The sequence below is a fragment of the Homo sapiens genome, chromosome 1, assembly GCF_000001405.40.
Source record: "Homo sapiens chromosome 1, GRCh38.p14 Primary Assembly".
Classification (NCBI taxonomy): Eukaryota; Metazoa; Chordata; class Mammalia; order Primates; family Hominidae; genus Homo; species Homo sapiens.
The window spans coordinates 226288016-226303428 of NC_000001.11; the positions used below are offsets into that span (position 1 = coordinate 226288016).

The 15413-nt window shown below is 40.3% G+C and overlaps 1 protein-coding gene across 16 annotated transcripts in view; it reads right to left on the reverse strand.

The window, feature by feature from the left end:
- The window catches only part of LIN9 (lin-9 DREAM MuvB core complex component), a 78619-nt gene that overhangs the window by 56867 nt on the left and 6339 nt on the right, over positions 1-15413 (reverse strand). For 8 of the 16 annotated variants that reach the window (XM_024446565.2, NM_001366239.1, NM_001366237.1 and 5 more), the window contains exons 2-4: positions 13158-13190; positions 9704-9798; positions 7827-7931 (exon numbers count right to left, since the gene is read on the reverse strand). In XM_024446565.2, coding sequence (XP_024302333.2) covers positions 7827-7931; positions 9704-9706 — 108 coding nt within the window. In that variant the 5' untranslated portion in view covers positions 9707-9798; positions 13158-13190. Of the gene's footprint in view, positions 1-7826; positions 7932-9703; positions 9818-13157; positions 13191-15413 lie in introns of all 16 variants that reach the window. The other 8 variants (XM_017001084.2, XM_047418546.1, XM_047418553.1 and 5 more) reach the window with 4 other exon arrangements.

Consider the following 15413-nt stretch of genomic DNA (forward strand, 5'->3'; position numbering starts at 1 on the left):
GGCTGGAATGCAGTGGCACAATCTCGGCTCACTGCAACCTCTGCCTCCCGGGTTCAAGCTACTCTCTTGTCTCAACCTCCCAAGTAGCTGGGACTACAGGCGCACGCCACCACACCCAGCTAATTTTTGTATTTTTAGTAGAGATGGGGTTTCACCATGTTGGCCAGGCTGGTCTCAAACTCCTGACCTCAGGTAATCTGCCTGCCTCAGCCTCCCAAAGTGCTGGGATTACTGGTGTGAGCCACAGCGCCCAGCTTAGATGGATACTTTTTTAACCTAATAAAACATTTCTCCCCACTCCAACCCAAAAACCAGTATCGTAATATTAAAAGACGATGAGAACGACAAATATTTCAACTACCACCACTAACCTAGTATGACAAAGATTTCAACTACCACCACTATTTCATAACACTGTTTTGAAGGAATTGGCCAATCAGGTAAGAAGAATAAAATTTAGAAAGAAGATAAAACTACCATTTCCTTGTAGGTGAAAACTCAAGAAAATCAACTGTAACAATTAAAAACAGTAAGAAAATTTAATGAAATGGGTAAATACAAAGTTGATATACAAAAACCATGATTCAAAAAAATCACTATATGTAAATAATAACTGGACAGGCCATAAGAGTTTATATCCTGTTTATAACAGCACAAAAATGGACATAAACAAAAAAATTAAATATGTAGGAATATACTTACGAAACATGCAAGACTGATATGGAAAAAAATTAAGTCTACTGTGAAATACTATGAACTAAGTGGAACTACAATCAGTTCTTAGGTAGTCTCAATGTTACCTATATATATCATTTCCCATAAATTATAATATTAGTCCAATCCCAGTCAAAATGCCAACAGGATTTTTTTTTCCTAGTCAAGTTGATTCTAAAGTCTACATGGAAAAATAAATGCACAAAAATATTTAGGAAAAAATCTTATGCTGGGCGCAGTGGCTCACGCCTGTAATCCCAGCACTTTGGGAGACCGAGATGGGCGGATCACAAGGTCAGGAGCTCCAGACAGCCAGGCCAATATAGTGAAACCCCATCTCTACTAAAAATACAAAAATTAGCCGGGCGTGGTGGCTGTGCCTGTAGTGCCAGCTACTCAGGAGGCTGAGGCAGAAGACTAGCTTGAACCTGGGAGGCGGAGGTTGCAGTGAGCAGAGATCACACCACTGCACTCCAGCCTGGGCGACAGAGTGAGACTCCATGTCAAAAAAAAAGAAAGAAAAGGAAAAAAATCTCAAAAAAAGAATATGTGATAATATCTTACCAGGCATTAAAACACAGTATAAAGTCATGTTAAACCAATTTTGTGTGTGTGTGTGTGTGTGTGTTTTGGTTTTGTTTGTTCTTTTGAGACAGGGTCTCTCTCTCTGTCACTTAGGCTGAAGTGCAGTGGTGCAAACATTGCTCACTACAGCCTTGACCTCCTGGGCTCAAGCCATCCTCCCACCTGAACCTCCCAAGTAGCTGGGACTGCAGGCATGTGCCACCACACTGGGCTAATTCATGCATTTTTTGTGGAGACGGGCTCTCGCTATGTTACCAGGTTGGTCCCAAACTCCTGGGCTCAAGCGATCTTCCTGCCTCAGCCTCCCAAAGAGCTAGGATTACAGGTATGAGCTGCCATGCCCAGCCAAAATAATTTGATACTAGCACATATAGAGATATGCTAGATGTAGAGATAGAAAGCCTGAAAGTAATCCCAAATACTTATACGAATTTAGCTTTGATGAAGGCAGCATTTTAAATCAATGTTTAAAAAGATGGATTACCCAATAAATGTTACTAGGACAACTAAGTAGTCCTCCGGGGGGGGGGGTGGGGGGGGGTGGGAAAGCTAGGTTGCAATTTTACTTCATCCCTTACTGCAAAATAAATTCCAGATGTACTGAAGGTTCAAACCAAAAAAATGAAATATGAGAGAATTCTAAAATGATAAATTTTAGTGTAGAAAAGGTCTTTCTGAGCATGACAAACTCAAGAAGTCATTAAAAGGTAACAAAGTTACATTTGATCCTTAAAATATTTTAAAATCCCATATGTTAAAAAATACAGAAACAAATCAAAAGACAAACTATAAACTCTAAAAAAAATTACAGCCATTATAAACATCCAAAGGGCCAATATTTTTAATATATACAAAATTCTTATAAACTAGTAACACAATGACCCACAATCCAATAGAAAAATGGGAAAAAGGCATAAACAGTTTACAGAAAAGGAAAGAAATAATTTTTAAACATATGAAAAGTGTCTCAACTTTGCTCTTATATAAAATGCCAACTAAAACAAGTGAGAGGCTATTTCTTTTTTTTTTTTTTTTCTTTTTTTTGAGATGGAGTCTCGCTCTGTTGCCCAGGCTGGAGTGCAGTGGCACGATCTCGGCTCACTGCAAGCTCCACCTCCCGGGTTCACGCCATTCTCCTGTCTCAGCCTCCCGAGTAGCTGGGACTACAGGCGCCCGCCACCACGCCCGGCTAATTTTTTGTATTTTTTGTAGAGACGGGGTTTCACCGTGTTAGCCAGGGTGGTCTTGATCTCCTGACCTCGTGATCCGCCCACCTCGGCCTCCCAAAGTGCTGGGATTACAGGCGTAAGCCACCGCACCCGGCCAAGGCTATTTCTATATATCAGATTAGCAAAAATCTAGATGGTTGGTTCTGTACTGAGTTGGAGGCATTTGGAAAATAGGAACTCTAATATATATAAACCAGTACAATTTCTTTCCTTTTTTTAAAAAAATTTTTTAACACAGCGTCTTGCTCTGTCACCTAGGCTGCAGCATACTGACACGATCGCGGCTCACTGCAGCCTTCGCCTCCCAGGTTCAACCTATTCTCATGCCTCAGCCTCCCGAGTAGCTGGGACTACAGGCACGTGCCGCCACACCTGGCTAATTTTTCTATTTTTAGTAGAGATGGGGTTTTGCCATGTTGGCCAGGCTGGTCTTGAACTCCTGACCTCAGGTGATCTGCCCACCTCGGCCTCCCAAAGTGCTGCTATTACAGGTGTGAGCCACTGTGCATGGTCCCAGTTCAATTTATTCGGAGAGTATTTGGTACTGCTTTAAAAACTTTAAATGTACATAATTTACGATCCAGCAATTCCACATCTTAGGCATCTGTCCTAGAAAAAAACTTGCAAATTTATACAAACATGCTCAGGATGTTCACTGCAGCATTATTTGTCAAAGTAAAAATTTACGAACAATTTAAATGCTCCCAAATGGGAGAATTTATAAATAATGATATAAAATTGAATACTATTCAATAGTAAAAAGAAATGAAACACTGAATCCGATTATCTCAATCAATCAACATGGCCAGATCTCAAAAAAAGACAGTGAAAAAATTACAGAATGACACATGGCACAATACCATGAAAATGATACTACAAATGTAATTTTTAGAATACATACATTTAGAAAAAGAAAAAATATATATACATTTAACAATATTAAATATTTTCTATGAATACATTAAAAGTATATTTAAAAGGTTTCATAAGGATAATCAAACTAATTATAGTGGCTGCCACTGTATGAGGGAAGTACATATTGGAATGGTAAGTTAGGGTCAAAATTTTAAAATTTTTATTATAAACTTTGTATTTTGGAAAAGTTGTAGATTTACAGGCAAGTTGCAAAGATAGTACATATTCCCACATGCCCTTCACCTGGCTTTCCCTAACATCAATATCTTATAGTAACTTTGGTATATTTGTCAAAACTAGTGCAATACTATTAACTAAACTACAGGCTTTATTTGGATTTTACCAGTTTTTTCACCAACATCCTTTTTCTGTTCCAGAAACCAATTCAGGATACCACACTGCATTTAGAAAAATAACTTTGTTTTTCTTTGTTTTCCCTCAGTGACCATTCTCAGGAGAAAAAAAAAAATTAAATGTAAAAAGAAGAAAAAAGAAAAAATTTATAAGTGAGGAGATGTTTAGCATAAATAACCAAATTACTATAAAATATTCTTATCACAAAAAGTGTTATTTCTTTCTACTACATTATTGACCCAGATTTTTAAATAGGGTATATAGGGTATTAGCAGCTCATCGAATATAAAACTATATTAAGGACCCGCCTGTTGGGTATGGGAAAATAGATTCAAATTGTTAGAGGGAATCTTCTATTGACTGATTGAGATAGGGTCTCACTCTGTCACCCAGGCTGGAGTGTAGTGGCGCAATTTCGGCTCACTGCAGCTTCCACCTCCCAGATTCAAGTGATTCTCCTGTCTCAGCCTCCTGAGAAGCTGGGACTACAGGCGTGTGCACCACACCCAGCTAATTTTTGTATTTTTGGTAGAGACGGGATTTCACCATGTTGCCCAGGCCAGTCTGGAACTCCTGAGCTTAAGCCATCCACCTGCCTTAGCCTCCCAAAGTGCTACAGGCGGGCACCACTGCACCAGACCAGAAACATAAATTATTAAAACTGACAGGGTCTCTGTTCTATTGCCCAGGCTGGACTGTAGTGGTCTGATCATAGCTCACTACAGCCTCAATCTCCTGGGCTGAAGTGATCCTACTTTGGCCTCCCAAAGAGCTGGTACCACAGGTGCCCACCACCATGCCTGGCTAATTTTTAAAAAAAATTTTTTTTGTAGAGACAGGGTCTCACTCTGTTGCCCAAGCTGGTCTCAAACTCCTGAGCTCAAGCGATCCTCCCACCTTGGCCTCTCAAAATGAGCCACTGCCCAGCCAAACTAAATGCTTTAAATATATGATTTGTATATGTAAAGTCTATCTCAACAAAGCTGGTTTTTTTTCTTTTTAAAGTAGGACTCTGGAGACAGGCTGCCTGACTGTTACTAGCCTTTACTTCCTAGCTTTGAGTTCTTGGGCAAGATACTTATCTGTGTCTGTTTTCTCATCTACAAAATGGGAAATAATGTAACAGTAACCTATCTCATAGGAGTTGTTGAAGATTAAATCAAAGTAATACCTATGAAGTGCTTAGAACAGGACTCAACACATAAGTAATCAGTAAAAGTTAGTTTTCATAATTTTTCAGCTCTGGGTGGTGTTCTTTAAATAAACATACAGACAAAATACGAGAGATTTAGAAGATATGACTAAGGAGGGTAAGGGAACAAGCCATGTCAGGTAAATGAAGATGGAAAGCACTAGAGATTCTACAACTAGTAAAGAGAAAACTCAGAGGATATAAAAACTTTTCACATACTTGAAGAAGTCTCATATCATGTTTATCCTACATTATATTTGTTCTGTATTGCTCAGAATTCTCTGTATTGCTAAAAAGGGCTCTGTAAAATAGTCCAGAAGGAGTGATGTGCTCAGGAAGGAAGGCAGTGGATAGAGTTGCGACAGGACAGTGTCACAGTCATAAAGATCAGTTTTCTGTATGTTTGTGAATCATCTAGATTATCCTAGTAACATAGCTATTCCAAAGTCTAGCTAACAAAATTGTTATTTAACTATTTCTTGTTCATTCAACCTTGTATACAACAGCTAACTTAGCCAAGAAATGCACACTGCATTTTAGTTTCAACAAGATCAAACTATTATTATTTTTAAATTTATTTTAATTTATTTTTTGAGACAGACTCTTGTTCTGTCACCCTTGCTGGAGTGTACAGCTGTGATCTCGGCTCACTGCAACCTCTGCCTCCCAGGTTCAAGTAAGTAGCTGGGATTACAGGCGTGTGCCACCACGCCCAACTAATTTTTGTATTTACTGTAGAGATGGCATTTTGCCATGTTGGCCAGACTCGTCTCAAACTCCTGACATCAAGTGATCCTGCCTTGGCCTCCCAAAGTGCTGGGATTACAAAATCAAATTATTAGATGCTTATGTGCACTTGTCCTTGACAACTTTTTTTTTTGAAGTTCAAGATACATTTTTGTTCATTCTACAGAACATGAACATATTTTCCTGTTTAAAATTATCATAAGGCATTTAAGAGTTTTTATTGGTAGGGTAGATTGCTGGTCATGCTTTTAATTTATTTAATGCTAAGTCCTTGGGTCAGGTGTGGTGGCTCACACCTGTAATCCCAGCAGTTTAGGAGGCTGAGGTGAGTGGATCGCTTGAGGTCAGGAGTTTGAGACCAGCCTGGCCAATGTGGCAAAACCCTGTCTCTACTGAAAATACAAAAATTAGCCAGGTGTGGTGGTGCGTGCCTATAGTCCCAGCTACTTGGGAGGCTGAGGGACAAGAATCACTTCAGTATGGGAGGCAGAGATTGCAGTGAGCCAAGATCGTGCCAATGCAGTCCAAAAAAAAAAAAAAAAAACCTGGCTGGGCGCAGTGGCTCACGCCTGTAATCCCAGCACTTTGGGAGGCTGAGGTGGGCAGATCACCTGAGGTCAGGAGTTCAAGATCGGCCTGACTAACATGCAGAAACCCCATCTCTACTAAAAATACAAAATTAGCCAGGCACATGCCTGTAATCCCAGCTACTCGGGAGGCTAAGGCAGGAGAATCACTTGAACCAAGGAGCTGGAGATTGCAGTGAGCTGAGATCACACCACTGCACTCCACCTGGGCAACAAGAGCAAAACTCTGTCTCAAAAAAAAAAAACAAAAAAAAAAAAACCTAATGCTAAATTCTTGGTTGAGAATATCACCTCTACCATCCATTATACTAGAAAATCTTGTTTTATAAGGCTTTGGAAAATAATGAAAGAGAAATAGGGAATGATTATATCAGAAGTTATAAATTGAATAAGACAAAAATTACATTACCCTTAAAGTTAATATTTCCCTATCTAATTTTCATTCCTTTAATTTTTACATGTCTACTTTTTTTTTTTTTGAGACAGAGTCTTGCTCTGTTGCCCAGGCTGGAGTGCAGTGGCATGATCTCGGCTCACTGCAACCTCAGCCTCCTGGGTTCAAACGATTCTCATGCCTCAGCCTCTCAAGTAGCTGAGATTACAGGCGTGTGCCACTATGCTAGCTAGTTTTTTTGTATGTTTAGTAGAGACAGGGTTTCGCCATGTTGGCCAGGCTGATCTCGAACTCCTGGCCTCAAGTGATGCACTCACCTTGGCTTTCCAAAGTGCTGTGATTATAGTCATGAGCCACCATGCCCAGCCCACTATGAGTTTTTAAATGCCAAAAATAAATAAGGAGATACGATTTCATGCTAAATATTTTCCTCTCAGCAGGGTGCAGTGGCTCACGACTGTAATCCCAGCACTTTGGGAGGCCGAGGCGGGTAGATCACTTGAGGTCAGGAGTTCAAGACCAGCCTGGCCAACATGGTGAAACCCCGTCTCTACTAAAATATAAAAATCAGCTGGGCGTGGTGGTGTGATCCTGTAATCCCAGGTACTCGGGAGGCTGAGGCAGGAGAATCATTTGAACCCGGGAGGCAAAAGTAGCAGTAAGCCGAGATCACGCCACTGTACTCCAGCCTGGGCGACAGAGTGAGACTCCGTCTCAAAATATATATATATAAATAAACATATATATATATATTTTTTTCCTCTCTTGGATAAAGGAAGTCTTCAATGTACTTCTCTTGGTGATCAAGTAAAACATTTTTTCCCTCTTATATCTGTGCAAACCTACAAATTGATGCCATGTTGCCAAATTCTTCCACTATCTCCATGCTTAAAAGTGTGCATTTGTAGGACTAATGACTGGCTTTCTATCCTGTTTTAAAGTTGATCAAAAAAATAACATTTTCTAGGTAACTAAAACAGGACCAGAGCAGCCGTACGAATTTAAAGAAAAGAACTTGTTACTCAAAATGTAACAGAAATATAAACTTTATTAGGCTGAGCATTTGCTTACTTCCTTTCCAATGAAACAAAATTTTAGCACACACATACCTGTGGAACCATTGCAACCCTCTGGTTTCTTTTAGGTGACCTTGTATTTATTTGCCTATCATCTTCATCAGAAAAAAGTCGACTTCGTTTTGAATTTCTGAAAGGCTATGATAGAAATGTTTTCATTTAATGAAAAAGCCGAACCCTCCCATTTTTGTTCCAAAATACAATTCTATACTTGGAAAACTGAGCTAACTCTGGATTATCAGCAGTATGGAAGGATAAAGTATGGGCAACACAAAGCACACAAAGCCAAATATAAATAATCTCAGATTTAGAAAGCAGTAAGATGTATTTATACAAGGTGCTTATGAATGAAATACCTAGCTGATGAATAAAGTAAAACTGGAACCCCAAGTCTCCTTAGTACACTGGCAGCCTTGGACAGTGATGATAGGAAAATAAGTTCCGGAAATTCCAGTTCAAATTATGTTGTTGCTTGGGTTAATACCAATTGGGTGTGTGACATGATATGTCTGCTGCATAGGGCTGGGCTGGGCCAAAGGTTCTAAATCACTCTAGAAGAGTAAGCCTAAATGTGTATACTATTATACTCTATCTGCTGTCAAAAATTGTTAACCGAATTTTCACTTGTAAATAAAAGATACATATGATAGATACCTGATAATTACCCATAGAACTAAAAAAGTTGTTTAAGTACCAAAAGTACATCATACACTTAAGGGTCTGTAATAGTAAAGATTTTACAGTTCACCCTAGGTTCAGAGGTTTCATTAATAGAGAGAAAAAGAAATAATATCCCGATAAGACCTACATCCTTTTCAAAGCCTTCTCCCACCCCTCATGGCTATTTGGAAGAGAAACAGGTGCAGGCGGCTAACAACATATGGGCAACATCCACTCGGGTCTATGAACCCTTGAAATTAAACCCACTCTGGCTGGGCACAGTGGCTCATGCCTATAATCCCAGCACTTTGGAAGGCCGAGGCAGGAGGATCACTTGAGCCCAGGAGCTGGAAACCAGCCTGGGCAACACAAGGAGACCCCATCTCTACAAAAAAAAAATTTTTTATTAGCTGGGCGTGGTGGCACACACCTGTAGTCCCAGCTACTAGGGAGGCTGAGCGGGCAGGATCGCTTGAGCCTGGGAGTTCCTGACCAGCCTGGGCGACAGAGCGAGACCTCGTCTCAAAAAAAGAAAAACAAAAAGAAATTAAACCCACTCAGAGTCTTGATACTCTATAGCCCTGACAGGAATTCCATTCTACACTGCCCCCCTTCCCTGACCACAAGCAGAGAAGAGGAAGGGAATGAAGATGATGGAATTGACACAGTGAGGAAAGCCCCTCACATTCACTGTGGTCAGCTGCCCAGGCTACTGTGACTGCTGCTGTCTATCCCAACTCCAGGACTGTTTCATGACAGACCCTTAAAACCTCCTGGCTACCTGGCAGGGCAGGAGAGAAAGAGAGTTCCTAAAACTGTTAGTCATGTCAATTATATGCTCATCTCTACTTCCCACCTCTAAATGCACTTACCTTTGAGCTACACAATGATTTCTTTTTTTTTCTTTTTGTCTATACAAGATTTTAATACCTTACCACATATATATATTTTTGCAGGTACCAAAGCCATGTAAAATTTTTTGCGTATCTAATAAAAGTATAAGTTGTAGTTTTTGTTTTTCCTATTTAAAGAAACTATTACACAATTACTGAACAAATGCTTACTGATGACCAGATTATCACTGGGTACAGATTAATTTACCTAAATAAGATCAAACAGTGCTTAATGACACTTGAGGTTGGGAAAAAAACTTGTAAATTTTTTACTGTGCTGCAAGAATTTACACATGACAATAATACAGACAACTTAGCTAGAATTATTCTAAAATGTAAGAAAAACTCACTCCTTACCATTTCCACAGCAGAGCTTGTATTCCTGCCTTTCCAAACAGGTGTTTTCTGTAAAGAACTGTACTTTTCATTCCACGTGTTAGATAAGCTTCCTTCTGTAATAAATAGTTAATACTAATGGAATTTTGGCTTAGTTCAAAGGATTTCATACCATGAATACTGTTTTTTTCATAACAGCCATATATCTAAAATATTTAATATGGAAAAAATATACTGACTATAATAATTTTAGATTATTATAAATGAAAAAGCTCTTCCGTATTTTTCTGTCAAACTCTCTAAATAATTTGATAAAGCAATGCATCTTGAAAGTATTAAATGTCCATACTGAAACATGTGCTTCTTTTTCTTTGTTTTTGGATTTTTAATAATTTCTCCATTCCAACTTGCCAAGAACTATCTCATAACTTTTGGTACAATTCTGAAAGCAGGGGAATCAAAAATGGAAAAAGCCTTTTCTAACCTTGAATTTAGAGCACATTTCTTTTTTACTTTTTCTTTGTGTGTGAGACAGAGTACTTGCTCCATCGCCCAGGCTGGAGTGCAGTGGCACAATCTTGGCTCACTGCAACCTCTGCCTCCCAGGTTAAAGTGGTTCTCCTGCCTCAGCCTCCCCAGTAGTGGGATTACAGGTGTGTGCCACCACGCCTAGCTAATTTTTGTATTTTTAGTAGAGACAGGGTTTCTCCATGTTGGCCAGGCTGGTCTCAAACTCCTGACTTCAGGTGATCTACCCGCCTCAGTGTCTCAAAGTGTTGAGATTACAGGCATGAGCCACCAGGCCAGCCTGTATTTAGAGCACATTTCTAAATGTTTTCTGCTTTAATATGTGAATCACTTGATATATAAAAAGGAAATTAGGCCAGGTGCAATGGCTCATGCCTATAATTCCAGGACTTTGGGAGGCCGAGGTGGGTGGATCATTTGAGGCCATGAGTTCGAGACCAACCTGCCCAACATGGTGAAACGCCACCTCTACAAAAAATACAAAAATTAGCTGGGCATGGTGGCACGCACCTGTAGTCCCAGCTATTCAGGAGGCTGAGGCAGAGAATTGCTGGAACCTGGGAGGCGAAGGTCGAAGCAAGCCAGGGTCAAAGCGAGCCAGGGTCGAAGCAAGCCGAGATAGCACCACTGCACTTCAGTCTGGGCAACATGGCAAGTCTCTGTCCCCTCACAAAAAAAGAAAAAGTAAATCAGCGTGGTTATTTCTGTTTTCCTTAATTCAGAGAAATGTCTTCAGAGTTGTACACAAGCAGAAAAGAATTCTATCGAATAGACATATTATGATTTACACATATTATAATGATTAGACATATTGTGAAAATAAAGAGGGGTAAGTTTAATTTTTGTAAAAAAGATGTTTATATAGAGGCATAGAAAACTGGGATGAATATACAAGCTGGTTATTTTTATTTTCTTCTAGTGGCTCATCAGCATTTTCTCATTTTTTCCATAAGAAATGTACGTTACTTATATAAATGATTTATCAAGATGAATGAGTGCCGGGTGCAGTGGCTCACATCTGTAATCCCAGCACATTGGGAGGCCAAAGTGGGAGGATCACCTGAGGTCAGGAGTTCAAGACCAGCCTGGCCAACATGATGAAAACCCATCTCTATTAAAAATACAAAAATTAGCCAGGTGTGGTGATGCATGCCTGCAGTCCCAGCTACTCAGGAGGCTGAGGCACAAGAATCACTTGACCCAGGAGGCAGAGGTTGCAGTGAGCCAAGATATTGTGCCACTGCACTCCAGCCTGGGCGACAAACCGAGACTCAGTCTCAAAAAAAAAAAAAAAAAAGGCAGGGGGGAGAGAAATGAGTTTAATATTGGGAGAAAAAGAATAATGGAATAATTTTTAAGAATCACAAAAGACAAACAAACTGGGGTGTTCTGGAAGACAAATTGTCTTCTCAAGCTAGAAGGATTTAATTTGGTAAATCACCAATCCAAAGCACAATATAGTAGCTTTAAAGACTAAAAGTACTTTGAGAATATTTAGCTTGGTTCCAAATTTATTGACCTACCAGAATCTTAATCAAGAGGTAAAATTTTAAAGAAACTATGTTAAAAAGGTTAGTCTAATGTACCTGCCAAAAGAAATAGTGAGACCAAGGAACATGTCAAACTTTTTCTTAGAATGAGAAAAGTACTATTATTCTTTTATTTTTATTTCAAGACATTATTACTTAGAAAGCAAGATTCTTTTTTTTTTTTTTTGGAATTTGAGACAGAGTCTTACTCTGTCACCCAGACTCCCAGACTGGAGTGTGGTGGCGCGATCTTGGCTTACGGCAATCTCTGCCTCCCAGGTTCAAACAATTCTCCTGCCTCAGCCTCTCAAGTAGCTGGGATTATAGGCACCTGCCACCACTCCCGGATAATTTTGTATTTTTAGTAGAGATGGGGTTTCACCTTGTTAGCCAGGCTAATCACGAACTCCTGAGCTCAAGTGGTCCGCCTGCCTCAGCCTCCCAAAGTGCCGGGATTACAGGCGTGAGCCACCGTGCCCAGTGAAAGCAAGACTCTTAAAAATAAGCTATTACGGGCCAGGTGTGGTGGCTCATGCCTGTAATCTCAGCACTTTGCAAAGCTGAGGCAGCAGGATCCCTTGAGCCCAGGAGTTCGAGACCAGCCTGGGCAACAAAGTGAGGCCTCCTCTCTACAAAAAATAAAGAAATTAGCTGGGCATGGTAGCATGTGCCTGTGGTCCCAGCTACATGGGAAGCTGAGGCAAGAGGATCACTTGAGCCCAGGAGGTCGAGGCTACAGTGAACTGTAATCACATCACCACACTCTAGCCTGTGTGACAAAGCGAGACCCTGTCTCAAAAAATAAATAAACAAAAAATCTGCTGGGCACAGTGGCTCACGCCTGTAATCCCAGCACTTTGGGAGGCCAAGGTGGGCAGATCACTTGAGGCCAGGAGTTTGAGGCCAGCCTGGCCAACATGGTGAAATCCCGTCTCTACTGAAATTACAAAAATTAGCCAGGCATGGTGGCACATGCCTGTAATCCCAGCTACTCAGGGGGCTGAGGCAGGAGAATCGCTTGAGCCTGGGACGCAGAGGTTGCAGTGAGCCAAGATTGCACCGTTGTACTCCAGCCTGGGCAACAGAGAGAGACTGTCTCAAAAACAAACAAACAAACAATTATGCTAACATATAGGTCAGCACAGTCGTTTAACAAATGCTTTTAATCTAAATATTTATGGAATGTTTAATTAGAAAGGTTTTTAATCAATAATTTTAGAAATTTTTAAAAATAATTTCTAACAACTGAGGATCAATTCTCCTATAAAAGCATATTAATTTAAGGTTATCAGTGAAAACCAATACTGAAAAGCTACAATGAATCATAACTTAGAAGGAAAATGGAAACACTATATCCAGATTAATTTAACAAATTAGACTTTTAGCTATGGTATACCTAAAAATGCTATACTTCTTACCTTTTAAACTGACAAGGGCTTTTGCTGAAGAGCCTGCAATTAAAAATAAAACAAATCAATAATTATTTCATAACCAAAGTGAGAGAAAAAGACCTTGGTTTGGGGGTAAAAGTGATCCATTTAGTTTTAGTAATGTTGAGTTTGAAGAGATGGTGGAATGTGCAATTCGAAATATCTGGCAGACAATTCAAACTATAAACCAGAACTCAGATAAAGAAAGAACTGGAGAGAGACATATGAGAGTCTTGCTGAAGTTGTGAGAACTGGAGACCATTCCAGGAGAAGAAAGTGAAGAAACAGAAGAAAGAGGAAGAGTGGGGACAGAGGTAATTTTGGATCCTCATCCAGGCGTGCTGTGGTGCTGGAAGAAAAGAGAAAGGGAACCGACATCCATTGAGGCAAAGACTGATGTAGTAATGGAGTGGAAAAAAACAGGCAATGGAAATGATTCAGGGACTGTCAGAGCAAGCAATAAGTCCCTTGAAAGTCTAGAATGCAGGTATATGTGATACTTCAAGATCTAAGCTGGAAAAGGGAATACAGAATGGCCAAGAGGGGCTAGAATAAAGTTGGAGGGGTCCACTGGATAAAACAAACTCCAGTGTACATTAGAGGCCAGGTATGATGGCTGACACCTGTAATCCCAGTGCTTTGGAAGGCCAAGGTGGGAAGGCTAGCTTGAGGCCAGGAGTCTGAGACCAGCCTGGGCAACATAAGGAGATCCTGTCTCTAAAAAAATGTTTTTAATTCACTGGGTATGGGGGCACGTGCCTAAAGTGTCAGCTACTCAGGGGGCTGATGTGAGAGGCCTGCTGGAGCCTGGGAGGTTGAGGCGGCAGTGAGCTGTGACCGTGCCACTGCACTTCAGCCTGACAGACAGAGTACGACTCTGCCTCAAAAAAATAAAAAAGACATTAGAATAACAAGGAAGCTCCTCATACATGCAAAATCTAGACTGAATCTATATTATTAATAAACAACAGGGGATTCTGTTGCAGGTAACCCACTTTGAGAAACATCAGGCTACAGGTTCTGGTGTGAATGAATTATAGGATCTATGGGTAGGGAAAGTAGAAAAATCAATAGAGAGGCCGGGTGCGGTGGCTCACGCCTGTAATCCCAGCACTTTGGGAGGCCGAGGTGGGCGGATCACAAGGTCAGGAGATCAAGACCATCTTGGCTAACACGGTGAAAACCCGTCTCTACTAAAAACACAAAAAATTAACTGGGTGTGGTGGCGAGCACCTGTAGTCCCAGCTACTCGGGAGGCTGAGGTGGGAGAATGGCGTGAGCCCACAAGGCAGAGCTTGCAGTGAGCAAAGATTGCGCCACTGCACTCCATCCAGCCTGGGTGACAGAGTGAGACTCCATGTCCAAAAAAAAAAAAAAAACAAACCAATAGAGAAAGAAGCTTTTTGAGAGTGAGAAAGCACTAAATTTAAAAATCTCAGAATTGGATGTATACATTGCAAAGTCCAAGTCATCTGAAAAATAATAATTAAGGATGATCTCAGGGGATTAAATAAAAAAGAACATGAACTAGGAACAAAAATCAGAGAGGACGGATTAATCCTCCTTGCTATTTAACAAAAGCAGCTATGATTTACATCTCATATAAATGGATAACAGACTTAAAATGAGAAGCAACAGATAAAGTATGGCAGTTATGAAACACTTCATCTCAGATCCTTAAACACTATGCATCTCTGATCACTAAACCTCAACTGACTTTTTCCTCCACAGGTCTGTGTAAGAGACTTGTGAAACAGACACCTATTAGCATTAAAGACACTTACTTTCACTCTACTCTCTTGCCCAGATGTGAAGAATAGTTAACAGGACACCATAAAAGCTTCTGCATGGCAAATGAAGCTTAATGACAAAAGGCAGTAAAGTCATGGGGGTGAATGACATAAAATCTTGCTAAAAAGTCTCAAACAATGAAACACAACTGTAAAGCAGCAATAGTAGACAATACACACATCTGTGTACCAAAAGATATGCAGTGCATTTGAGAAAAAGTAGTAACCATTCACTCACTGAATATGTAGAGTACTGATGGCATGCCAGTCCCTACCTGCTCTAGGCAATGGGAATACAACAGCAAGCAAAATAGTCAAAGTCCCTGCTCTCATGGAATGTACATTCTAGTGATGGGAGGCAAACAAAAACAGCTATCGAGTAATGATAAGCACTCTGGAAAAAATAAAGCAGAAGAAGAAGAATACGCAGGGTGGGGATGGAGGGAAGGAAAAC